This window comes from Homo sapiens, chromosome 7 (assembly GCF_000001405.40).
Source record: "Homo sapiens chromosome 7, GRCh38.p14 Primary Assembly".
Classification (NCBI taxonomy): Eukaryota; Metazoa; Chordata; class Mammalia; order Primates; family Hominidae; genus Homo; species Homo sapiens.
Genome location: NC_000007.14, coordinates 116,533,669 through 116,561,476, shown reverse-complemented (window position 1 = coordinate 116,561,476; position 27,808 = coordinate 116,533,669). Strand labels below are relative to the sequence as shown.

At 40.9% G+C, this 27,808-nt stretch overlaps 1 protein-coding gene across 4 annotated transcripts in view, besides 2 other annotated features; it reads right to left on the bottom strand.

The window, feature by feature from the left end:
* CAV1 (caveolin 1) overlaps nucleotides 292-27,808 on the bottom strand; it is a 36,177-nt gene continuing 8,660 nt past the window's right edge. For 3 of the 4 annotated variants that reach the window (NM_001753.5, NM_001172896.2, NM_001172897.2), the window contains one exon: nucleotides 298-2,531. In NM_001753.5, the coding sequence (NP_001744.2) occupies nucleotides 2,190-2,531 (342 nt within the window). In that variant the 3' untranslated portion in view covers nucleotides 298-2,189. Of the gene's footprint in view, nucleotides 2,532-27,808 lie in introns of all 4 variants that reach the window. The other variant, NM_001172895.1, reaches the window with a different exon arrangement.
* Nucleotides 20,408-20,702: a silencer, noted in NCBI's record as "tiled region #15503; K562 Repressive non-DNase unmatched - State 22:ReprW". NCBI's record gives its function as "represses a minimal TATA promoter and a strong SV40 promoter by Sharpr-MPRA in K562 cells {active_cell/tissue: K562}" and the evidence as "EXISTENCE:reporter gene assay evidence [ECO:0000049][PMID:27701403]".
* Nucleotides 20,408-20,702: an enhancer, noted in NCBI's record as "tiled region #15503; HepG2 Activating non-DNase unmatched - State 24:Quies". NCBI's record gives its function as "activates a minimal TATA promoter and a strong SV40 promoter by Sharpr-MPRA in HepG2 cells {active_cell/tissue: HepG2}" and the evidence as "EXISTENCE:reporter gene assay evidence [ECO:0000049][PMID:27701403]".

Sequence of the window (27,808 nt, the reverse complement as noted above, 5' to 3'; positions counted from 1 at the left end):
CACACAAGCTTGCTGGGGGCTCAAATTAGATGACATATAAAACATTGGGCAAATTGCTAAAAAAACTTTGTTATTAATTATAACTTTTATCTGAAGCAACTCATAAATGGTGATGACCTTAGCAGAAATATCCTAAGTGACTTTGTAATAATTTTAAAGTGGGAGACCATTACCCCCCACAAACACATACAAACACATACACACACTATGCACATGCTCATTACATACAAATACATAGACATACACAGACTCTGACACATAAACACCTGTTTTGGGAAAAAATAATAAAGCTGACTGTTTAACCGTTAAACATTTTTATTGTGCAGGCTTGTAACCTTTACAGGACATGCATGATAAAAAATTGTAAAATATATCAGTAAGCATATAAAATTTCAGCAATCTTTTGGACCAGTAATTGATTTGCATGAGGGACTAAGCATCTATGTAGAACAGACATGTCTTGGAATACACAGTTTACAGATTGAATCACAAAGCCATTTCCTAAGTGATTTTCTTCATATAAAGATAAAAATATCTTTACATTTAAAAAGTATGCAGTATAGCACATTTTCAGTTATGTACACAGTTTAAAAGTAAAACTATATCCATGCCAGTGTCTGTTTTAAATGCAAAAAGTCAAAGTAGGTAACAGGTTGGTAATTAAAGTGTCAGGAAGACTGGAAGAGGCAAAAATCAAGCAGAGTTCCAATAAGTGTATGAAAAAAAAATCATAACTGAAGGTTTAAGAAAAGTCCCCAAAGGCAGAATCACAATATGAGCAGGAGGAATAAAAAGCTTTTGGATATACCAGGCAGCTTTCTGTACGACTCAGGTTTACAGGTGAAATTCCTCAGTTTGAGTTCAGAAGAATTTGAACTTATTCCAGCAAAATACTTCAATCTTTTTATTACTGCCTCCTCCCCCATCTTCTTTCTGGGCAAAGGGATGCTTGGATTAGGTCCAAAGCTCCTGGCAGGGGGAGGGGCCATGTGTCACAGCATAACAGACGGTTGCAAGTGCTTTACTGAGCAGGGGTCAGGTTTGCAGCAACTCTGATAGGCTCACACAATGGCCTCCATTTTACAGCCCCTCCTTGGAGGCCCACTGATCAGCTGAAATGGGAACACAATGTTGAGCCACTAAACCACCCCGGTGATGGATTAGTTTGGATTCAGGAAAGCGTGATTATTCTTGAAAATAAACGAAGCTGAATAGACATGCTGACCTCATTCAGTTGATGAGAGGCAGGGAAAGCTGGCTTCCAGGACTGCCAGCCCACAGAGAGCTCAGCCCTATTGGTCCACTTTAATTCATTTCATTGGGCTAGTGTCAACCATACCCACTACGGATAAAGATGTTGCCAGATGAAGCCCAGAAGTGAGCTTCACCAGACTCTGTAGCTCAGAGTCAGAAACACGCATGGAAAACTAGGTCATGGATATTCTAATTTTGGTCTTCAGGGAGGCTGCTGACCTAAAGCGAGTTGCTGAGTTAGACCCTATTTGAAAAGGAAAATGTGAAAAACAGGAAGGCACTGAGGTCTTGTTATCTACATAACAAATATTCAGGCACAGAAAATATCATAGGTTAAAATTTCAAGAAGAGTAAGGCATTAGTTGGATCATGAGAAGGCAGAAGATTATGTTTTCTAACTTGTAAGGATCACTGGATCCTACTGGATTATGAAGTGAATGGCAGTAATCCACTAACTCCTTAAACAGTGGGAAAAGAGTTTGCTGAAAATCTGCCCACATACTTGTACACTCCATGGCCATACCCTGGAATTCTTCCCTTAACATAAAATGACCAACATTTTGGAGTAGGCAGTTGAGGTTGTTGGTTCTTTTCTTTTTTTTTTTTTTCCTCCTCAGTTCTTCATATTTCTCTCAAATTACCTTTCAACAATATGTTCATATCTCAGCCAATAAAGCGATGGTTGATCCACATGCAAATAAAAAGGTAAGGAAAAAAATTTAAATGGGTTTTAAAAATTCAGACTGCCAAAAATAGATGAAATAGCTCAGAAGAGACATAATACTTATGAAAACTGAGAAAGTGATCTTTTTATTTTCAACCAAGATAATTCAATTCATAAATTGTTGCTGTATTAGCAACTTGGAACTTGAAATTGGCACCAGGAAAATTAAAAGGAAAAAAAATCAGGTATACTTCTATCCTTGAAATGTCATTTATATTTCTTTCTGCAAGTTGATGCGGACATTGCTGAATATTTTCCCAACAGCTTCAAAGAGTGGGTCACAGACGGTGTGGACGTAGATGGAATAGACACGGCTGATGCACTGAATCTCAATCAGGAAGCTCTTAATGCATGGTACAACTGCCCAGATGTGCAGGAAAGAGAGAATGGCGAAGTAAATGCCCCAGATGAGTGCCATCGGGATGCCAAAGAGGGCAGACAGCAAGCGGTAAAACCAGTATTTCGTCACAGTGAAGGTGGTGAAGCTGGCCTTCCAAATGCCGTCAAAACTGTGTGTCCCTTCTGGTTCTGCAATCACATCTTCAAAGTCAATCTAAAAGGAAGAAGTGACACAACATGAGCACAGAATAGAAGAAAAGAGAAAAAAAACCCACTATTCAGTATCCATAGACATATACTGTATTAGCATTTATGAGTTCGTTCTTTGTGAGATGCTTAAAGGCAACCAGCAGCATCAGCATCACTTGGAACTTGGGAACACAGATTTTTTTCATTTTTATTTTTTTGAGACAGGGTCTTGCTCTGTCACCCAGGCTGGAGTGCAGTGGCATGATCATGGCTCACTGCAGCTTCGACTTCCCAGGCTCAAGCAATCTGTCTGCCTCAGCCTCTTAAGTAGCTGGGACCACAGGTTCATGCCACCACACTTGGCTAATCCTTTTTTTTTTTTTTTTTAAGAGATGGAGTCTCACGATATTGCCCAGGCTGGTCTTGAACGCCTGAGATCAAGGAATCCACCCACCTTGGCCTTCTGAGGAGTTGGTATAATAGGATGAGCCAATAAGCTGACCTGAAACACAGATATTTGGGTTCCCCTTGGACCTTATTATCTCTCAAGGGTGGAACCCAGGATATTTTTAAACATGTTCTCTAGGTGTTTCTCTACCACACAAAAGGTTGAGAACTACAGCTCTAGAGAAAACCAAATGGATGTGATTAAATTTCTTGACTTAAAGTAAAACCCCCAAACATGGATAAGGATACGAGGCACTCAGTACAATGTAAGGAACATGACATAATTTAACTGCCTTTGAAGACAACTACACATGCAATGTTAAGGGGCAGTTAGTTGATAATCGGTTAACAATTCTTCAAATGCCCAATTAGCATAATTACTTCAGGAAATTAGATCATGGTGTGCTGGGAGGCATCAAGAAGGCTTCATGAGGTGGGAGATTTGAGCAGGGCTTGGGCAATTGGCTGATTTGGAGAGGAAGAACAATGGGACGTTGGAAATGTGTCAAAGCCCCAGGAACAAGCAAGGGTGTCATAGTAAGTGTCTCAGGCAGAATAGACCTGTGTCACCGAGGCTGGAAAGACAGGTTGAGGCCAGACTGAATATTATTTTACAGACAGTGGGGTCTATGGAAGATGTGGGAGCAGGGGAGTGTAGCCACAATCGATGCAGTAGTTTATCAAGATGAGTTTGACAACCGTATGCACACTGGGAGAAGGAGGAAAGAGACTCAAGGCAGGGAGACTGTTGCTGTCACTCAAGTTTGAAGGGCCAGGACTGGAAAGGTGGTCATAAAAAAAAGAAAAGAAAAGAAGGTTCCAGAGATGCTAAGGGAAGAATCCACAGGACTTGGTTAGCTCAAGGGTGGGGATGAAAGGAGCTGGAATGCAAATTTGGCCCCTTTCCCAATAGCTCTCCCAGGTACATGTTCACCCAAACAATTAATTACAGGAAGTTTTATCCCTCTGTAAAGATTTATATAAACTACACTGAAGCACAGGATTAAAAACAGAATTACCAACAGAAAGGTAGGACAGAGCCAGTGCAACTGCTTGGCAGTGACAGCTATAGGAGGGGATTTAATGCAGTTTGAAATCCCAACAAGTGGATGACTGACAGCAGCGACTCAGGCAGGCTCAGGATTAGGGAATGAGGACTGCCATGACTCCACGGAGCTACTCAGTGCCAAAGAGCCACCTTTGATTCAACAAAATAAAATGTCTTCTGGAAAAAGCACATGATGCTTACCAATTTTTAAAGTTTATTTTGTAGAACATTCTGTTTCTTGACTTATTGTCCAATGTTCTAATAATGTAATGTGAAAAAAACGGCATGGCCACAATTATGTAAGTGAGCTTAAGTAGATGTATTGTCACTCATTTTTCTTCACCCATTTGGATCTAGACACAGGGTAAACATTTAGTTGTGTGTTTTAAAAGGTGGCAAATACATGGCAAATCAGGTCAATACTTTTATGAAGTTTCTGTGCAAATTATTTGTCTATTATGGGTTTGTGTTCTGACACTGCATTCTTCCCAAAACTATCAAAAATAAGGGGCTCTGGTTTTCCTGCATTCAACTGCAAGACACCTAAAGAATTTTATTTTTTAAAGATGTCTTTGTTTTGTAAGAGGATTTGAAGGCAGAATTAAAATACTACAGCAGGTGTTCTTAATCTGGGGTCAAAAGATGGGCAATGGTCATCCATGACTGCCCTGAAATGGACACACATTTTGAGTGTATAATGGGAAATGATCCATCACCTTTATTAAAAAATAGTCTATTACCAAAGAAGGTTAGGAAGCAATTTACCGGGAGCAGAGGATTCCTACCTCTTTACAGAGCAGACCCGAAGCAGGTCTGCCTTGAGATTCTTTTCCTAGGAGGGGAAGAGTTGTGAACATTTGTTGACTAGTTGTGATCAGACACTGTTCTCATTTAACTGACAACAACTCTATAATATAGTATTCTCACTTTATAGAAAAAATGTGAGGTTCAGAAATGCTAATGAGTTGTCCAGGTAAAAGAGAGGTAGATTTGAGGCTTAAATCTGGTCTGAAAGTTATCAACTTTCTTCAATATTGTACCACTTTACAAAAATGGTTTTCAAATTTTATCTAAGGTGAGTATGCTATTTCATAATTAAAAGGCACGTTAATAAAAAAGAGTTTGCCAAATTTAACCCTCTGGTAACTGCAACAATTCTCCCGGCATGTTCTTTGAGGACAGTGTTACACCATATACACAATTGGTCCTTAGTGAAGATATTTAAAAACATGAGTGTGTAAGATTTCTTAATAATAATTCTATTTTTCTAAGCATAAATTCAAATTATTTTTCAATGAATACATAGGAGATTCTTACACTTTCTTTTAAGTTGCTTACTAAATTTCTGGATGCCTGCATTTTCAGTGAAACTGCATTTTCAGAAACTGCTAGTGAGCATGATTTATCCTCAAACGTCCAAGTGAATTTAGAGCAGGTCTCCAGGGGTGGAAAGCAACATGACAAAAATAACATGTTATATAAATATATTCAGTTAGTTATTGCTGCTTTAGTCTTTGAAATTTAAGGCAGTTTTAAAGAAAACTAAAAGTACAGCCAATTAGGTGCAACTGAAAAAGGAAGCAAGGCAGGTTAAAGAAACAATAGAGGCAGAAATAAAGCTTAGTTTCTTTCTACCTCCATTTACACAGCAGTAATTAGTTTTAGAGGAGTACATGAGATAATTTATTTAAATTACTTAGCTTGGGTGCAGAGCATAGCAATATGATTAGTAAATGCCCAAAAAATAGTAGCATTTAAAAAATCTCTTGCTTTTGGTGACTAGGTCTTTCTCTCTCTCTCTCTCTCTTCCTTCCTTCCTTCCTTTTTCTTTCTCTCCTCTCCCTCCCTCCCTCCCTTCTTTCTTTCTTTCTCTTTCTTTCTTTCTTTCTTTCTTTCTTTCTTTCTTTCTTTCTTTCTTTCTTTCTTTCTTTCTCTCTCTCTCTCTCTCTCTCTCTCTTTCTTTCTTTCTTTCTTTCTTTCTTTCTTTCTTTTCTTTCCTCCTTCCTTCCTTCCTTCCTTCCTTCCTTTCTTTTTTTGGAGACAGGTTCTTGCTCTGTCATCCAGGCTAGAGTGCAGCGGCATGATCACTGCCCACTGCAGCCTTGACCTCCTGGGCTCAAGCAATCCTCCAACTTCAGCCCTCAGAATAGCTGGGACTACAGCCATGCATCACTGGCTAATTTTTTGCTTTTTGTAGAGATGAGAGGGTCTCACTATGTTGCCTAGGCTGATGTTGAACGCCTGAGCTCAAGCAGTTCTCCTGCCTTGGCCTCCCAAAGTGTTGGGATTACAGACGTGAGCTACTGCACCGGGCTGTGACTAGGTTTTTAAATAGACAATTGTAATAAGAGGAACTAACAGCTGCAAAGCACATAAGGGCTGGGAATTTAAACCCCACCAGTGGCTCAAAAGAGCTAATTTCTATTTGTAATAATCTTCACCACAAACCACTGAAGTGCATGTCATTATTCCCATTTTACAGATGAGAATACTGCCGGGGGTTAAGAAATTATCCAAGGTCACAGAGATGCTAAGTGACAAAACTAGAACTTGTCATATTTCAAGTCTGCGCATTTTTGCCTTTGTATTCCTGAGATCACAAGCCTTTACAATTGTCTTATTTGCTTAGTTTTCACCCAGATAGATATGCTTCCTAAAATATTCCCAGTTTGATGATTCAAAGAATTACTCTTGTTAATGTTTCCACTTTAAGTTAGGACACCTAGTATCTAGGATGTTTTGCATCCTAGGTACTGGTACTAGTACATTATTGGTACTGATTGCATTTTTATGGCTCTGAATGGTATGTTCTCACAATCCTGGGCACCCAGCCAGGGACTCTTACTCTAATTGACAGATATGGAAACTGTGGCCCAGAATGATTAAAATGAGACAGATATTCTCAAGATCCCAAGTGAATCAATGGAAAAGCTGCAATTAGAACTCTAATTTCCTGATTCCCAGGTCTATGTCCAGCCTTGTGCTTCATACTTTTTCCCTAGGAAGTTACATCATTCTCCTCACATACCTTCTCTGCCTACTCCATTCATATCTCTAGGTCTCCTTTAAATCTCTCATTGCTTTCTAAGGCATTGACTTGAAAGGTATCTCTGTGTGAGTTTATGAGAAATGTCCTTTCCACGGTGTGAACACGGACATTTTTGTACATCTATCTATGGTGAAAAAAACAGGAAGGAATATTTTTTACAAATCCAAGTATATTTTGACATGTATTCAGAATGCACTGAATCCAACAAAGCTCGGCTAAATAATTGGTCTTTGTATTTAAGGGAGTTCAGAGATCCACATCAATCAAAGCACAGCTGCTTCAGCAGATTCATAGATATTTAAAGCTAAAGGGATTCTTAAAGCAATAGAGTCACATATGAGATAGAGAAATTGATGACCAAAGCTGTCAGATGACTGGACCAAGTATATCTTCCCATTTTATGGCAGCACAGGATTGCAATTCAGGCTTAGGAACTCTCCTGGGCTCTTCCACTACTGCTTGCTGTCATCACACATCCTTGATCAGTCTAGCTGCTACATTCTGGATACCTGCACCTGAAATTAAACATCCTCAGGCTATCAAGAGGTCCCACAGGCCTATTGTTGAGTGGATGATGATGCCTCTTTCTCACAATCTCTAATGGGCTCATTGTTCATGTTTAGCATCAGTTTGATTTATCTCTCATTGAAACGATCACTCCCCAGTCCCGTTTCCTAGGGGACTGACTGCACTTGCCCTTCTACAAGGGCTGGTCTTGCTTGGAGCAGCACTTTATGTGCTCACTTAGAATATGAGCAGAACAAGAATTAAAAATGGGCTTAAAAACTCAATGCCCAAGAGGTGTAGGTGCCATTAGTTTCTTAGAGTGGGATGCCTCAGATGAGGTTGAGCTATTCCTCCCACAACCAACTTTCTGTTCTGTAATTTATGGAACAACTTGGCCTTCTGGAGGGAAGTATTATGCAGACCTAAAGAAGAAAGGCATAAATGCACTTCAGTGATATTTTTGTGTGTCAACAGATGCTTTATAAGGAGTTAACAGTTTACATTACTAGATTTTTATAAATGACATGAAATACCTTTGTGCAGCATTGGCTTATGATACTACAATTTCAGAAACATGAGTTAACACAAATCAAGCAGCAGACGTCAAGAAAAGCAATCTGTCCTGTTTGTTTTGATAATACTTGGCTGATGTAGTAAATCTCAGAAGATTTCATTCTGTTCAATGTATCTGAAGGCAATATTTGAAAAACAGTTTACATGTGCACAGGATTTTTAAAATATAGAATCTTTTCTGGGTTTCAAAATCTGGACATTTTATTTTGAATAAGGAATTTTCAAGAAGGAAACCTTAAGTACATTTGGGATTTCATAAGTAATGATCTTACACATTCTGTTTCTATTGGAAAATATCTTTTTAGACTGTTATTGGAAATTGTGATTCTACTGGATATATAGAACACATAAAAAACAACACATAAGAAGTTTACAGAAGACTTGTTTGTTGCCTGCTCAAAATTTACAGTCCCACTTCTCTGCCAACAGGATCCTGATGGATTCGGGTAATGGTAATAATCCTTTGATTTCAGAGATGAGTCACAGTTGGTTTAGACTTGCCATGATAATGTTAGTCTTCTTGGTGAGTGATTGGTTTAAGGCAGGCATGTGACTCAGTTCTGGCCAATGAGATCTAAGTGAAATCTGCTAGAGGGGACTTCCAGGGAAGCTTTGTCTTCCTTATGAAAAGAGACAGAGGCATATGGCATGACTCTTTGCCCTTTTCATCTTGCTTAGAATATGAGGTGTTGCCTATGTTGTGATTGTGAGGTGACATGCATGATTAGAAGGCCAAGGAAATAGAAGAGATGCTGCTTTTGCCATTATCAAGCTACTGAAGCAATGCCAGCAGCTGCCCACCCCTAGACTTTTGCTTATGTGACTTAGATATACCTTTATTTTAAAGCCACAGCTGTTTAGGTTTTTAGTTACCTGTAGCAGAAAGCATTCTTAAAACACTCTTTCCTGTTGGCTTGCATAGTAGTTGTACATATCTCCTCTTTTAGAAACATGAGCTTAATTTCTGACCTCAACATATCTTTTCAACACTACTGGTCTCTATTACCACAATACACTACCTAAATTGTATCAGAAAATGTTTGCTTTACATTGATACAAGTTTTAGCAAAGCACAAATGGGATGGCACATCGACTAAGACTGAAACAAATTAATATATTCTTTTCATCTGGAAAAATCACACTTAGATGCGATAGACAGCATCTAAGATGGCTTTCAATGACCCTGTCTGCTGGTGTTCATTCCCTTGTGTAATGCCATCCCTCTAATTGTGGGCTGGACTTAGTGATTTGCTTCTAAATAATAAAACATGGCAAAAGTGATGGGTTAACACTTCTGAGATGAGGTTACAAAAGACTGGGACATTCACCTTGCTTGCCTTTCTTGTTCTCTCACTCGCTTGCTCTACTGGAAACCAGCTGCCATGTTGTGAGTTGCCCTGTGGAGAGGCCCATGTGGAAAGGAACTGAGAGAGGGCTCTGGCTAAAACCACTGAGACACGGAGGCCCTCAGTCTGACAGCCTAAGAGGAACTGAATCCCGCCATCGGCCATGTGAGTGAGCTTAGACATGGATCTTTCCCCAGCTCAGCCTTGAAAGGATCCCAGCCTGAGACCTGGATTGCAGCCCCCGAGAGACCCTGAGCAGAACCATTAAATTAAATCACTTTGATTCCTAACACACAGAAACTGTGGAGGATCAATGTTTGTTGTTCTAAGCGACTCAATTTTGGGGGTGATTTGTTATGCAGCTGGACAATATAATTCCAAAACAAACCACTTCTGATGATGATTTCTTATTTTCTACTTCCTTGCCCTTTTCTATTAGACAATTCAGTTTTCATGTTTACAGAAAAATGTATGCAATGAATGTCTATCAGATGCCCTGGGATTTGGTCTTGGGACAAAGTCCAGAAATAGATGAGAAGGAAATATAGCATTTACAACTTTCTAGAATTCATACCAAACAGAATATTAGAAAAAATTTAGGCTATAGATAGTGTTTCGGTTGAAATATCAGCTCATATACCTGAATTGGCTTGGATTTATACCCAGGTATGCACCAAGGACCAGCTCCATCTGGAAAACTGATCACCAAACTTCAACTCTGGAATATAATGCTCCATTCAGCACTAGCACAGGGTTCTCATTTCTCAGGGGTTCTCAGCAAAAGGATCACCTGGTGAAGGTGCTTGTTAAAATGCAGATTCTCCGGCCCCATTTCAGAATCAGATCAGACTCTTTGGGGTGGGGCCTGGGGATCTGTATTTTTACCAGGATTGCCCTTTGTCTCGTGCAAAAGACTAGAGTGTGCCATGTTCCCTTGGATTTAATTACAGCTCCTTTTTGCATATGCCATTCTTTCTCCTCCACTCCTGACAGCCCTAGTTTGTTCCCTGCTCCTTTCTGGGAGCTCCTCATGTGCTGGATGGCATCTGGACACTGGTGGATAAATGAGTGGAGCTACTTTTTGAGAGGCTTTTGCTAATTTAAGCCCATAAGTATGTATTACTGGTTAAGGATAAATGAGCATTATTTACTATGAAAACACACAAATGGACAATAGAAATGTTGATTTATTGTCATTATTCTGAACCCTATGTAAACGCTTTTTTTAAAAAAAGATTAAATACATACTTGTAAAATCCTAATGTACGTGTCAAACCCAGTTATACAGAGTTTAGACCAATTTCAAACTCCCTTCTTTGTTCCCACACATATTTTTAACACGTTGAGCTTCCTTTGAAGTCAGTGGAATAAATGTTGTGTGTGAGTGTGTGGGTGCAGAGGAGGTTGAGAAATAGCACAATTAAATGTTACCAGAACATAGGAACTTTGCTCTAATTGCCCATGTGTTTTCTCAGGGGCAATCTTTACTGGGCCAAACTGACACCTCTGGGGAAAAGGCTGCAGTGCTCTTGCAGCCCCTGCTGAAAACAGGAGGCCTGGATTGTACTGTAGATGCCTGTGTTGACGGGGGTTCCCAGGAATATCCACCTAGACCCCTGGGAAAAATGTAAACCTCTGGTAGGAGTATTGACTCTTATTCTTGGGCTTCGACGTTGGTTCCCTTGGGGTGACAGATACTAAGTAACCTCCCCTGGCGGAAGCAAGGGTTTCCAGGGTTTCAAGATGGAAGAGGGCAAAAATGTGGGTATTTATCTACCTTTGTGAGCAACTGAAGAGGGTTAGGGTGTGGGGTGATGGGTGTGGAGGGGACCTGCAGTCACTGACCTGAGCATCCAGCTTGGAACCTAGAGCCTCTCTCTCTGAAATGACCTCCCTCTTGTTGCTTCCCAGTCATTACAGAGGCCTCAGAATAATATTTTACATTGATAGTGTTCTATTTCACTCATCTGCTTCTCTTCACAAACTTGTGAAGATCTAAATCACTTTTATATTAAGAATTGTCTTCTACGTCTTTTGTAAAGTCCTTTATTTCCCCATTGAAGGAAGGTCACTTGTAGTGACTAAATGTAGTCACCTGTAGTGACTAAAAAGTGACTACATCAAGACCAGGACTTAGGGCAAGGTCTGTGTCTACTACAAACATCTGGTATCCTCTATAATACCTAGTGGTACTATGCACATGTTAATTAGCATGTAAATATTTCTTCAGTAGGCATATTTTAAAGGAACTATAAATGCTCATTGAAAGGATGTAGCCATACATAACATTTCACCAACCATAATATTATCTCTTATTAATTCTTTGCCTGGTATTACAAGCACACTTTGATACATATATATTTATTATTTTTAGCATCCTCTTTTATCCCATTATTTTATTTTAAATGATTTAAAATTCATTTAAGATAAAATAAATAAAAACAATAAATAAATAAAAATCATTTTATTTTAAATGATTTTCTTATTCACCATAGCTCTAAAATACCACAACCATTCTCAAAATGAAATGGAGGTTGATTATCACTTAGGTCACTTGGACAGCATGGAAAGCCCACTGACAAGGGGATAATTCAAGCTCAGAAGTCTTCACCTTTAAAGAAAAACAATTTAGAAAATATAGGTTGAAGCATGTTTTGTGCTTGTTTGGGTTTTCTCCCGTGACCTGAATCACTGCAGTTGTGTAGACCTGGCCCCAAAGTGGTGGACACGCACTGGAATATGATGAGGAGGGGGCTTCAGGGAGGAGGCAGGAGAAGCAGCCCAGGCCCAGCCCTGCTGGGGAAGGGACAGGCGACAAAAGTGACTTTGTCCTTTGGTGCCTCTTGTCTCCACTTTTCCTCATGTTTTCCCATGTGTGTGTATGTGCATGGTCTGTGTATGTGCGTGTCTGTGTATATGTGTCTGTGCAGGAAAAGAGGCAGGCATACTCTTTAGAATGACTTCAGGTGACTGTGTTTTCTTTTCTGGCATGGGTGGGAGGGATGCATAGAACAAGGGACATCGTTATCTCCAGTGTCCTTTATGTGTCATTAATGGACTGCAGGCATTGGTGTGGCAGATATATTCCAAGGCAAGAGCCTTTTACGGGCCTTGGAATAGCAATAACTCATGTTACACAGTGCTATATGCCTCAGTGGATTCACATCATGCCCTGTGTGTGAGGACCTGCAAGGCAGGTATTATTTCCCCCCATTTTACAGATTAGGAGACCGAGCCTCAGGGAGGTTGTAATCAGTGATTGAACCAAACACAGGATTTTGCTCTCTCAGTTCCTCATTCAGCTCTCCCTATACCACACCATTCTCTTTAACCCCACCCCAAACTCCTTGTGCTGTTTATGCAAGCGTCTCATTCAAACAGAAACACATGGGGATTTCTGAACCCATGGACTCTGGTTGCTCTTTATTGTCTACATCCATACCTGCCATCCAAACTGTAAAACATGCCTTCTCTAACTCTGCAAATAACCATTTCCACCAAGGAAAGGGTGTGTGATCCAAGCAAGAGGATATAGCTGGCTGGCTTCCTTCTGCTCTCAAGCCTCCACATTCAGCATCACTCTTACTCCTCAGCAACCTAACTCTCTTCTGGCCAGGGCCCCTGGGCATTTGACTGACCATTGGCTACCAGAGTCCTCACTGTGTTGTCATGTCTTTCTGGCTTTTCCTGGTTTACTGTAACATTGTACGTTCCCCTTATTCCATTTCTTTAGTGTCAGTGGTTCCCATACATTAGTATACTTAAGAAATTTCTGGGGATGCTTGTTAAAATGCAGATTCTTGGGACTTGAGATTATGAATCAGTGCTCCAAGGGCAGGGTCCAGGCATTTGCACCTCATCCCCTCATTTTGATGCAGCTGGTCTGGGGAGGACACTTTGAGAAACAAGGATACCTTAGGCTTCATTCTCTGCTAGGAGAGCAGATCTGAAAAATGTGACAATCAGATGTGAGTGAGTGTGATAATCGATTACTGTGTTGCCTTTGAAGAGCATGTATGAAAGGCAATATGATGTCCTGGTTAATAGCATGGAGGCTGGGTTCGAATCTCTGCTCATCAGGGTTATCTCATCTAAACTACTAAACCTCTTTGTGCCTAAGTTTCTTATCTGTAAGATGCGGTATGATAGTACCTATATCTTAGGGTTGTTGCTCTGGGCATCAGTTAATTTATGCAAAACGTTTAGGGCACTGCCTGCCACATCAGGAGCTCTGGCCCAGGTGTCTCAACCGGAAGTGGAGAGGTGTTAGTGATGTCAGTAACAGTATTGGGAAGATGGAAGAGATATTTTGGAAAAGGAGAACCTTTTGGCATTCCTGAAATCGTTCCATGTCAGTGACTGCTTATTTTGTATTTTGCCATTAAGCAAGCAAGAAGGATGAGCTCATCTCTAGCAAGTCAATGAGGCTTCTGGAGTTTATTACCATGAGGCACACAGTGACCAAATGTACCCCAGGGAGATGATGCCCCAGCTGATGAGTGCACAGATGTGTCAGAGAAAGTTGCACCAACATTCCATATAAGCCACTCTCTTTGCTTTGGATTAATTCCTTTTCATCTTATTCCTCCTTTCCTTTTGTTTGAAGGTAACCATCGGGTTTCTCCATCTTTTGCTCTTCTTAGGAGGGAGTATGAGTTTTCCTGGGGTTTTTATTACACTTTGAAAAATTAAGCTAAATCTTTCTACACTGATAAAAACATACCCGTTTCTAGTTTCCATCCTGTTATGCATTGAATTGTGCCCCCTTCAACAAGCTCTGTTGAAGTTCTAATCCCCAGACACTCAGAATGTGACTTTATTTGGATATAGGGTCATTGCAGATGTAGTTAGTGAAGATGAGGTCATACTGGAGTAGGGTGGAACCCTCATCAAATATGACTGGTGTCCTTATATGAAGATGGTCATATGAAAACACTCAGGCAGAAGGCCATTAATGATGGAGGCAGAGTGGAGTTATGTAGCTGCAATCCACAGAATGCCAAACATTGCCAGCAAACCACCAGAAACTAGGAGAGACAAGGAAGGCCTTCCCTATAGGCTTCAGAAAAAGCATAGCCTTGCTGACACCTTGATTTTGGACCTCTAGCTTCCAGAATCATGAAATTTGTCCCCAAGAAATTTCTGTAGCTTTAGGCCATCCAGCTTGTGATACTTTTTTAGGGAAGCCCTAGAAAATGCACACACATTCCCTCACCAAAATGAACCTCAGGGATAGGATTTGGGATTTCTGGAACATTTTCATACCTCTTTATGCAGCCTGCAGACTTTTTTTTTTTTTTTTTGTGACAGAGTCTCATTCTTGTTGCCCAGTCTGAAGTGCAATGGTGCGATCTTTGCTCACTGCAACCTCTGCCTCCCAGGTTCAAGCGATTCTCCTGCCTCAGCCTCCCAAGTAGCTGGGATTACAGGCATCCGCCACCACACCTGACTAATTTTTTTTTTTTTTATTTTTAGTAGAGGCAGGATTTCACCATGTTGGCGAGGCTGGTCTCGAACTCCTGACCTCAGGTGATCCACCCGCCTCAGGCTCCCAAATTGCTGGGATTACAGGCATGAGCCACCACGCCTGGCCTGCATATTCTTTTTTATGGGGTTCCCACATCGGAATCTAAAACCGCACTGCAGACCAGCTGGCTGTGAGCCGTCTGAGGGAACCCGGAGCCATCTCTCGCGTCCACATGGCCTCACGTGTTCATTATCACAAAAAACATCTAGTGGCAGCTGGCTCAGTACAAAGCAGGCTGTACATATCTTGATTCTTTTTTGTCCTCTGGTGTCAATTTGGTAGCACATGTTGATGTTGAGTGTTACCAAACAAGTGACACTGAACAGTGAACAGTATAAAAATAGGCCACAGAAGGGCCAGCGATAGCATGGATACTGGGTGATTAGTTAGCGAACTTGAACAGAGAGGAGGGATAACTCGGGGCACTCATGTTTGCCATCTTTGAGGAGAAATAACTACAACCCCTCCAAGTGTTGAAAGTTCCGTCCCAGATAGAAAAATCCTACCTTGTTTAATGTATGAAAATCTTATTTTATCCAAACATGCAATTACAGGGATTCATCCAGAGGCCTGGATTCTTCGCTAAATTCTGTGTTTACACTTGGGAGTTTGTTATTCTTCAACCTTCTGGGCATGTCATGGGACAAATCTGAATGATTGCCACACTAAAGAAAATAAAAGCTCTTTCTTTTCTATCAAAGACACAAGAAACGGAAATGTCTTCATCATTTTCAGTCTACCCATTGGTCTGCATGCACATTTGTTTGAACTACAGCTTTTTAAACATCATTAGCGTCTTTTCAGTTTCTACAATACACTTCCTCACGGTAGAGGTTGTTTCCTACTATTCAGCTAAGTTAAACTAGGGTTACTAATAGCTTTCGTCTTACCTCATTGCTGGAATATTTTTTCCTCCAGTGCTTCTAGTCTGTTTACTAAACACACAGAAAATGAATGAAATAAATCTCTGCAGGTTTGAACATTGCTTGGCAAGTGAGGAAAAAGATACACACTAGGGTTCTTGCAAAATCTAGGCAAGGATAATTACAGCCCATTATACAGAATTGTTTGATACACTGTATAATGTGGCTGTCAAGACGCAGTCCCCAACCTCTACAACAGGGTTTTTCTACCTGGACACCATTAACATTTTAGGTCTAATGATTCTTCATTACTGGAGTGTGGGTGGGGGTACTGTCCTGTGCACTGTAGGATGATTATAAGCATCCCCGCTTCTCTACCCAAGTTGAGCCAGAAGCATCCCCCAAATCGTGACAACTAAAACTATCTCCAGACAATGCCAAATATCCCCTGGAAGGGAAGAAAAACTTTCCCTTGACTGAGAACTACCACTCTAGAAAATCGGAATACAATGTAATAAGACACAATTTGAAGTTGAGAAATATTTCTAGCCTAGAATGCTTGTTTATTGCAGGCACTTTTGCCTTGCTGTACTGTGACTTTGTGAGTTCATTCATTTATACAATATTTATGAAGCGTCTACGTTTTGAGGATGGAGTAAGTGAAATGAGGAAACGACCAGGACAAGGTCAATGAGCTAGCCATGGGTAACTGAAAAGGGGACAGTGCCTATAAAATAGAGATGGCCTCTGGCTTCTCAGGCTCACTCAGGAATTATTACCAAGGAAGGGTGATTTCCTTCTATGGTGCACTTACTTTTAAGGTAAGAGAGGAAGTCATTTTCGTACTTGCCTCTCTAAATCACTAACCTCTAGAATTCAGACTGGAATCTTGAGTATTTCTCCCAGGACAATTCCTCAAACCCTTTTCTACATCAAGGACTCCCCATTTGCTGTTGATTTTGCCTGGAGCACTCCTTCAGCACTCTGCACTTGGCTCACTCTAAGTTATTCATAATGTTTTAACCTAAATGTTTTTTCTTCAATGACTTCTTTCTAGCCCCCACCTTCTTTTCTCACCTGGACCTTTTATTTATTTATTTATTTCATCTAGCCTATCACATCCTTATTTAATGTAGTGTGTGTGTATGTGTGTGTGTGGTTATTATTTCTGATACTAGACTCTAAGCTCCCTGGAATGTAGTAGGTAGTAAATTAATATTTGTTGAATAAATGAATGAATTAGTGAATACTGCTATTTACTAAGTTATATTTTTCTCTTTCTCCTGTTTACAAGAACACTAACCTGATAAAATCTCCCAGGGAAAGGAGAATTCTGAATGTGTTATTATCTGGCGTAAGAATTAGTGATTGCATTCATTGATTGAATTTATTTATTCTAATCCAGGCATAATTTTGGCAAAAAGGTGAACAAAATGGAAGACAAATTAATTCAATTTTTGCTTATCATGAAATTTGAGTTAAAACCTACAGATTTTGGCATAGCTCTGCCCGTGGAGATGATGATTTCCTTAAGAATGTTTAGGTGGTCTGGAATTCAAACGCCTTCATGTTTACCTTCAGAATCATATGGCTGGGGTGTTAAGTGATGGAATTAAAATCATGCAGGGGCCTAAATGGTAAACTTTATATGAGTCAGAGAGAAACAAACTCTTTACAGCTAGGTAATGGGAAAATTTGACTCTAAGTAACAGTGTTTCTGCCCTGTAGCTCTTAGTCATCTGATCCTATTGCTCACAGATGGGCTGTTAAAAAACAAAAACAAAACAAAACAAACGATAGAAATGGGGCCATGTGAACTAGGTGAATTTGACAACTGTCAGCACTCAGAAAGTCTGAGCACTTTTTATTTAGCTAGACCTTCTTAAGGCCACTGCTCTAACTAAAGTTGCAAGTAATTATGCACTTCTCTGTCATGTGAACTAAGATGAATTGGCTGGTTGCAAAAACAAAACAAAACAAAACAAAAAAACAAAACAAAACCCAAACCTGAAAGTTTGTAGCCAACTTTGGAACTGATTTTCTGATCCATCTTAGAACAGATACAGCCAATTTGGTGGCAAGGATGATTAGAGGGAAGACCACAGAGTTCTGAGCCCAGATCAGAATGGGAAATGAACTCCAACTCTTGATCTTCTTCAGTACCAAATATTTATTTGTGGTCCTTTTGCATTCAGCATGCCATCTGTTGATAGCTCAGTATTTCAAAGATGATTTAATTAAATACCACGGTCTGTATATTAACAGTGAGGATGTTGACTGGTAAAACCTAGGAAGAGGGTAATAAAAATACTACTGATGAGAGGTCTTCCACTGTCTCTTTGTGTGGGCTTTCTGCACTCTTACAGGCTTCAACTCTTGTATGAATACTGGTCAACTAGAATCTCGGAATTTTATAAATAAAGGCAACTTAGAGATTGTCTGTTTCTGCCTCTTGATTTTATAGATGAAGAAACTACAGTCCAGAGTGTAAGTGCCTTTTCCAAGGCCCAATATAACCCTGGAGGTCCATGTTCAAGAAAGGACTGAAATTCAGTCTTTCATTCTGAGGCTCAGTTTCCTTGTCTGCTCTGAGGAGGGACTGGTATCTTCTCAGTAACCTAAGGTCTCTTTTCTGTGCCAGGAACTGGAGAAAGAATGATGTCTGCCTGTCCCTGGGCCCTGTGAAGATCTCTGTGGCCACTCGCACTTTGGGAATTTTGCTGCATAATTTCGAAAAAAACTAGTGCATGTTGTCAGCTTCATTCCTAGTATGTCTAAGCCATGAACTCAGGTGGGAAAAGGGGGAGGGGGATGATACTCTGGTGTTCTAACTGGCTAAGCTTCCTCTTGGGAAGAATTAAAAATAAACAGGCAAAGGAAAGGAAGGAACCACAGAGCTGGATTACATAAGTGATATGAGATTTGTGCTATGTACAAAGTATATCTCATGTAGTTGCTAAAGCAGTGTGCAAGAAAGAATTTTTTGTAATAGAAATTTGAGTGACAAATATATTCCAGTAAAAATGCCAAGGACCTCCCCAGATGAGGACCTAGTGAAATGATAACTACCCCACTGTGGCCTTTAAGGTCCTGAAAGTCTTGTCATGATAAAGTGTTTAATTATTAAGAAATTCTGAGAGTCTAAACCAGACCCAATTTTAGCTATACATTAGCAGCACCTGAGAGCCTTAAAAAAAGAATACAGAGTTCTGGGCCCCACCACAGACCAATTAAATCAGAATTTCTAGGGTTGGGGTGTTTAAAACAGTGTTTTTAAATGTTCCCCAGATGATTTGCAGCCAGGGTGAAGAACCACTGGTCTAAATTCACAGAACAGCCAGCTTTCGCAGAGACCACACTCTTTCATGAGTTTCTATCACAATAGGGGTTTATACAAGCTGCAAAACTGTGTGAATATGCAACGTGTAGGAGGGAGTGGATGGGCAGGCTTGCCATACAGATAATGCTTCATGCTGACCTTTTGGTATATACAATGCATGCCTTTTGCAGTGTTCTATTTTTCAATGTTTACCACTTGCATTTTCAACCACTGATTGAAACAACGCCACATCAATTCCTCTTTGCCCCTAAACAAACCAAGTATCCTGCTGGCATAGGGGAAAGTGTTCATATGTATGTCTATGTTTAATTATGAGGCTGTGTGTGAAGGCTGTTATGCGCCAGTTAAACTATAACTGTAGAGGCAGAAGGATTTGAGAAGTTATATAGACAAATAAGGAATTTAACACACGACTATTACAAAATAACCTCTGGTGACACATTCCTGGGATTAGCCACTCTTATTACTTGGAAGATCTTCTCTCATGTCACCTAACACTTTTTTTTTTTTTTTTTTTGAGGCAGGCTCTCACTCGGTTGCCCAGGCTGTCATGCAGTGGCACAATCATGGCTCACTGCAGCCTCGACTTCCTGGGCTCAAGCAATCTTCCCACCTCTTGGCCCCCCAAGTAGCTGAGACTACAGGTGCATGCCATCATGCCTGGCTAATTTTTGTATTTTTTTGTAGACATGAGGTTTCACCATGTTGTCCAGGCTGGTCTCAAGCTTCTGGGCTCAAGTCATCTATCCACCTTGGCCTCCCAAAGTGCTGGGATTACAGGAGTGAGCCACCGTGCTCAGCCTACCTAACACTTTTTTAAATAAAAAGCTAAGTGTGCTAGCCTTTCCTATTATTTCTTATCTTGAATGGTAATTGCGTCTGAGCAGTGCTTTTCTTGTAAGTCTCATACTAACCTGACAATAACCAAAGGTAATTGTCATTCCATGTTTCCTTCCAACCCTTCCAATAAATCACCTACACGAAACAGTCCCTCCTCAGCCTTACCCTGGGTTTCCTCTTGGCTCCTTATTCCTTTCCTTTTGCTCTTCCCTAGGGCTTCTCCAGAATCTCTACCTCCCTCTTAAGATCAAAGCAGGAACCTATTCTGAATGAGTCTAACCAAAGCAGAAGAGGTACAGAATCTTGTATGTGACATTCCTTGAAATATTTCATTGTGCTTCTTTTAAATTATCATTAAATTATTTAGATGCTTAATTTTCTGGAACAATTGACAGACCTAGTTTGAGTCCCCACTTACTCAAGGAGGTATGGCATGTGGATTCATCTATGGGTGTGTTTACAATAGTGACTCAACCTGGAGACCTTGGCCCCTTGGAACTGTGGAATTATTACAAGGGGGGTTTCCATATCCATTATACTCACCAGGCATCTTGGTTTTCCACATCACAGGCTCCCACAAAAATGACAGCTCTATCCTGGTATCTTCTTGTTTTTATATGCTTACCTATGTGTTGCCTACTTAACATATCTGTTTTATTTCAAGTCTTTTAACATCATCTTACTTTGTGTTAAACTTTATCTTATTTTTATGGGCTATTGTAATTTGTCTAAGTCACTTTGCTATTATTTTCATCACAAATGTTAACAAGATCATTGCAATTGGTGTCATTTTTAAGTTGAGAGTCCTCTTAACTTGTTCACGCAAGTTTCTGATAAAATATTAAGTGTGCTATGACTGTGATTCTGGCTGTATGTTAGATACCAAGTTACACCCCAAATCCACAATGCACCTCATCATTCTTTTTTGATGGCTACTTCCTAGTTCTATCTATTCTCAACTGAATAATGATCCTGGTATTTTACACTTAGCCTGTTGATAGGAAAGCTATTTGGAGTCAAATTGATGAGTCTTATATTATTACAGTAAAATCATCTCTTATTATAGGAGGCAAAAGAAGGAAACATATCTGGGAAAAGAGCTGACGTTCATTTCACTTGGCACAGACACCAATAATGGAATTAATGGTGTCTGACTCTTTCAGAGTCATTAATGTGTTGTTATTGTTGTTGTTTTTCTTTTTCCTGAAAAGAGATCTGAGATCTATGAGAAACCACTTCTGAGGCAAAGAGAAATTTCTGTGCTATTGGAATAGAGGGTTAACAGTTATCACCTCCCAGCACACAAAATCTCAGAGCTCTGTGTATTTGCATCTAGAAGCAGTAAAGCCAAAGAGAAGGAAGCAGAGGCTTCGGTTTCTCAAAGCTGTGGCCTTGTCCAGGGTTGGGAGGTTTTGGATTTTTCTTTCGGGCCATTCCCTGATCTAGTCATTCCTCTCAATCTTGCCATAGTGCGGGGATAGATGGGGGGTTCAACAGGCACTCCTTTCACCCCTCCCTTGCCAGGGGACTTCTCCTGTAGCCAGAGACCCACCCCCAGCCTCCACACTCTGGACTTAAGGGCAATGCCAAACAGCAGCAGATGGTATATTTTGGCATTCTGGGAATTTGCCTGTCCTGTCTGCCAGACACCTAGGAGATTAGCCTTATCCCCCATGACCCAGGAGATCATCTGGATGCCACAGCTTGCTTACTGGAAGGTTTAGGAGGATATATTTGTGTCCTCCTCAACCTGGAGACTTAAAAAAAAAGTCTAAATAACAAATATTTTAAATATACACACATATTAGAATGAGTTTTCTCTTCACCTAAGTAAATAGACTAAATGTTTTTGAATTTATTTATTAAGTTCTTGAATTTTTTTTTCCAACAAGATTTTCAAATATGGCCAATAGGGACAAAAGTGGCAAAGGAAGAAAGACACTCAATAATGTAATCCCAGTGTCTTTTCATTCAAAGCACACATTAACTTACTTTAAAAAGAATTTCAGAGTGTCAACTGAATTCAGCATCTATTTTCTGATGTCTGACTCTGCATGGGGCACTGGGCAGCCACAGAAGTGAGGGTGCCATTGCTCTGCTTGAAGGATACAGGCACAAAGTGGGGTGAGAAGGAAGGGAGAGGAGAGAGGACACTGAAGGACAGTGACGCAGGATAGTTGGAAGGCTTTGATGAATGCCACAGCAGAGATAAAAACAAAGGATGGCGGGGGCAAGGAGAAGAGATGCTGATTCTGAGGAGGTCCAGATGTCAGAGGCAAGCTCCAGAGGATGACTGAGGTCTGTCAGGCAGGCTGTGGTACGGCAGGACTCATGACGTGCTCCGTGCCTGGTGCAGGGCTGGTGCTTCCCAAATATTGGTTGAATGCCTGATATGGTTTGGCTGTGTCCCCACCCAAATCTCATCTTGAATTGTAGTTCCCATAATTTTCCCATTTTGTGGGAGATAATTGAATCATGGTGGCGGTTCCCCCATACTGTTCTTGTGGTAGTGATAAGTCCCACGAAATCTGATGCTTTTATAAGGGGTTTCCCCTTTTGATTGGCTCTCAATTCTGTCTTGTCTGCCACCATGTAAGATGTGCCTTTCACCTTCCTCCATGATTGTGAAGCCTCCCCAGGCATGTGGAACTGTGAGTCCATTAAACCTCTTTTTTTAAATACATCACCCAATCCCGGATATGTCTTTATCAGCAGCGTGAAAACAGACTAATATAATGCCCTTTCTGGGACAGTACATTATATGAGAATGACTCTTATTCCTAGCTTTAGACCTAGAGAAATAGAGGGACTTACCCAAAATAGTTTGGTGAATTTGTGGTTATTAATCGTTTTAGACAATTTCTCTTCCTACTAAAAAGCCTCGCTCTCAAGAACAAGCAAGGAAGAGAGATCTGTGAAGCTAACTAAAATAATTAGTGGTGAAATCTAATGAACGCAATTCCACTTCCTTGACATATTTTGGTATGCCCATTTCCAGCCATATATTACTTCTAAGAAGATAGAAAAGATATACAGTGAACCATGATTGCTGAGACATTTTAATTGTTCTTCTTAGAGATTAATGGTGCCTTGTAAAATGCACTATTAAATCTGCTTCTTCCTTCTGGCATTTGTTTTTGAGAACAAATATGTAATTACTAGGGAGGAAGTCTCAGAGAAACGATTTGCCATATTCCATAGGCATTTCTCCTACCAACATAAAACTCAGGTTTTTCTCAATTGTTTCCTGCTTTTACAATGTACTGGTGTGGTCCCACAAATGTCTGTAGAAATTGAGCAGGCAAATTGAGAACCTTATAAGGAGCTGTTTAGTGCAAAGTACCTGTCAGGACCTGCTTCCTTTCCTCATGCTTACCCCTCCCCGTATATCCAGACAGAATCAGCCCCACCCCAGGGTCTCTGGCCAACTTGGGTGATCAGGGGCACTTTAAAGACTTAAGCGATTCTACCTTATCCACCACTGCAACGTGTCTGGTTCTATTTCTAGTCACTGGAAGTTCTACTCTAGTTCTACTCTGGCCACACCTGCCCTGTGTACCCCATTTCTGGTCTTTGGGGCTTAATCCTCCCTGCCCAGCATCCACATTCCTTGAAGCCTGGGGTTTTACATTGGTCCTTCTCTTTCCTCAAACCACTTGCCAAGATCTAGGGTCTGATCCTAGAAGCTCAGACCTGTCACTCCCAACAGAGATCATGTCTGGAATCACCATAAGCTGCTCACCCAGTGTGAGGACACTGTCATCTCTTTCCATATTGTGGCCACACCAATGGCTTCTGGGATCATGACTTATTACAGAGAGGCACTGGAGGACAGTGGTTAAGAATCCGGGCTTTGGAGTTTCACTACCTGGGTTCAAACCCTGACTCTACCACTTCCTGCCTGTGTTGTTCTGGCAATCTGCTAAGCCTGAGTTTCCTTATCTGCAAAAGGAATATGATGGTGATAATAATAATAGTACCCATCTCATAGGGCCATTGGAGGTGTCAGTAAAATGATCTTTGTCACTCAGTCAGCCTATAGGGAGTGCTGGAAGAAGCACCCCATCTCCTGTCTCACTCCCACTTGCACAAACCCCCTTGATTTGCCCCATTGCACCGAGAGCCCTTTAAAGGGGATATCTCATCAGACATGGTTCTGACAAGCGCAGGATGCAGCTTTTCAAAACTTCACTTTTAAATTACTGTGAGACAGAATATTAAGCACATATGTACACCCTCAGAAGTTATTTAAATCTTCTTGAAAGTAAAAACTTTTGGTTTTTTAATTGCCAGCACAGCTAATGAGGATTAAGAGGAAATGGTTGTGTCTTTAAGAATATGTAGTTCCCCTGCCATGAAATAATGACCAACAAGAGACATGACTCCCTTTTTAATGGCTTTTTTTTTTTTTTTTTTTTTTTGAGACGGAGTCTCGCTCTGTTGCCCAGGCCGGACTGCGGACTGCAATGGCGCAATCTCGGCTCACTGCAAGCTCCGCTTCCTGGGTTCACGCCATTCTCCTGCCTCAGCCTCCCGAGTAGCTGGGACTACAGGCGCCCGCCACCGCGCCCGGCTAATTTTTTGTATTTTTAGTAGAGACGGGGTTTCACCTTGTTAGCCAGGATGGTCTCGATCTCCTGACCTCGTGATCCACCCGCCTCGGCCTCCCAAAGTGCTGGGATTACAGGCGTGAGCCACCGCGCCCGGCCTTAATGGCTTTTTTCTGGCCTAAAAAGCCCTCTGTGGGTCGCTGTGGCCTACAAAGAGACAAATGCCTTTGCTGGACAAGGAAGGCCCTGCTGCTCTGGCTTCTGCTAGTATCCCTGGCTCTGGCCACATTGATCCACTGCTGGTGCCCAGAACAGGCCACGACCCCTCAAGGCTCTGGTTGCTCCTGTTGCTCCCTCTGCTGGGACCCTGTTCCTGGTAAACATATGTTCGGCTTTGGAGACTGCTGAGAACTCTCTTCTTTGTGGTTGACTGTGGCCTGTCCTTTGATTACATGACCTCACTCAGGTTTGTTTACATGTCTGTTTCCCCACTAAGCCCTAAACTCTTCAGAGACAAGGGTTATAATTTAACTACTCAGTCCACACCTGAGCCTGATTGGGTCATCACACATGGAAGCACCATGCACATAAATGGTTGTTGGGAGTTGTGGAGCTGGGATATGAGATATCGCAGCCCAGTCCATAATGGAGCAAGTGGCAGGACAGGGAGAACGGTGCTCATGTTACTTTTTTCCTTTGCTTCTTGTCCTCCCAATCTCCTACTTTCTCACTGCTTGGGCTCAGCTTCTTTTTTTAGTCATTGCAAATAAGAAAATGTAATTGTGTTTGACATCTGCACCATGCATGAGATGACCCACTGCCATATCTAGACACAACTTACCTTTTTAAATAAAATCATCACAACATCCTTGCTGGGATCAGGAGAAGTTTATACACTGAATGCAGCTTTTTAAAACGTCACCTTTAAATTGCTATGAGATAGAATATTAGGCACATATGTACAACATCAAAACTTAAGTCTCTTTGAAAATAAAAGCGTCTGGTTCTTAATGGCCAGCCCAACTAATGATGGTTAAAGGGAAACTCGGTTGTGTCTTTAGGAATATGTACTTCCCCTGCCATGAAATAATGACCAACAAGAGACATCTTCTCGAGGTTCAATAAAGAAAACAAGATGTATTTCATATCTGAAACATCAACATAGTTCCCATGAAAGGCAGGAAATTTGTATTCTGTGCAGGTGTAATTCTGTTCTACCAACTAATTCCCTTGGTAGTTGCATAGCCTGTGGATCATGCAGATTTCCTTTAAGGCAAAATTAAAAACACTTCCCCCACCCTAAACAATGGTTTATGTGCAAGCATGCCATTTTATGTTTCCTGGACTAACTGAAAAATAGTTTAAACTATTTTAAACATTTACATCTTTTACTGAGTAGCTGAGAAAATATGTGATGGAAGGATGTCAGTCTCATTAACCCTGTGTTTCAGAGAAAGAAAGATCTGAGGGATGAGTAGATTGGAACATAAGGGATCCTCTTTAAGTTAGGGTGCAGTTTAATGGCTGTGATAAAAGACAGCAGACGAGTGACATTAGAGAAAGGAATCAGGGAAAGGCCTGACATGCCTGGAATGTAGAAATTTTGCCTATTCTGCTAGAAAATAGCATGAGTAGGGACTTCCAGTATATTCCAGGTATAAGAATCAGAGACAGGCCATTGCCAATTCATTTGTGACAATATTGTTTTTTTCCTCCAAATGGGACACTTCTGAGCATGCCTGGATGCTATTACTTGCGGCTGAGTAGTGCTGGCTAGTCTGTATGAGACAACCTAGAATATATGGTCACCCCATTCCTAGGTCACTCTGAGGCTCTAAGCTTGCAGTTGGCTTTAAGCCCAAGTAGCCTGAAGGGATGGAGAACCATTGAGCAAGTTGATTTGGGAGCCCTCCACAGTGTTTCAAAACTCTCTGGCAGGGTTTTAAATGGCCTAACCCGCAAGTATTCTACTGGCAGGGAAAACATCTACAACTTTGCTGTGTATCTTATTTGCTCTCTTCAGGTAGAATCAACCAGGGTGTGTATCTTTTAGCCAACCTTGGGTACAGTCATTTCTAAATCTGACTTCACAGTGTAATCATTTGAAGAACGATCATTTGAAACTCTGAAAAATACAGATACTCAGGCTCCACCTCTAGATATTCTAATTTAATATATCTGGGCCGGGTGCAGTGGCTCACGCCTGTAATCCCAGCACTTTGAGAGGCCGAGGCGAGCGGATCACAAGGTCAGGAGATTGAGACCATCCTGGCTAACACGGTGACACCCTGTCTCTACTAAAAAATAGAAAAAATTAGCCAGCCGTGGTGGCGGGCGCCTGTAGTCCCAGCTACTTGGGAGGCTGAGGCAGGAGAATGGCGTGAACCCGGGAGACGGAGCTTGCAGTGAGCTGAGATCATGCCACTGCACTCCAGCCTGGGTGACAGAGCAAGACATCGTCTCAAAAAAAAAAAAAAAAAAAAAATATATATATATATATATATATATATATATATATCTGAGGTGGGCCCAGGCATCTGTATTTGTAAACATTCCTCTGATTCTTTTGACACCTCGCCAAATTTGATAGTGCTTTTGGGTTTATAAAGAGGCTATGGGGTTTTAAAAAGGCTGCAAATTTCAATTTTTATTTTTATTTTTTTGTGATGGAGTCTCACTCTGTCGCCCAGGCTGGAGTTCAGTGGCTTGATCTTGGCACACTGTAACTTCTGCCTCCCGGGTTAAAGCGATTCTCGTGCCTCAGCCACCAAAGTAGCTGGGACTACAGGTGCATGCCACCATGCCCAGCTAATCTTTTGTATTTTTAGTAGAGACAGGGTTTCACCATGTTGGCCAGGCTGGTCTCAAACTCCTGACCTCAGTTGATCCGCCTGCCTTGGCCTCCCAATCAATGTTTCAATAGGAGGATTAGAAGTTGAGAGCCAGTATGTGAGGAGAGGATATTAAAGAGGAATTGAAATATTTTCTACAATTTAATTACAATTTTTTATGAGACCAAAACAGAAGTAAATTGCCTAAAAATATATATTCCTATTTTGCCTTGTTTATTTGCCCAGAAACAATTTTAAGGTTTATAAATGACGTGTTGTTTGGACTAAAGATATAAAGATAGAAGATTTTAACAGACAGTAGAATTTGGTAAAGGAATCCATCAAAAGTTTGTGAAGGAATCTGCATAAAGAAAGTCAAGG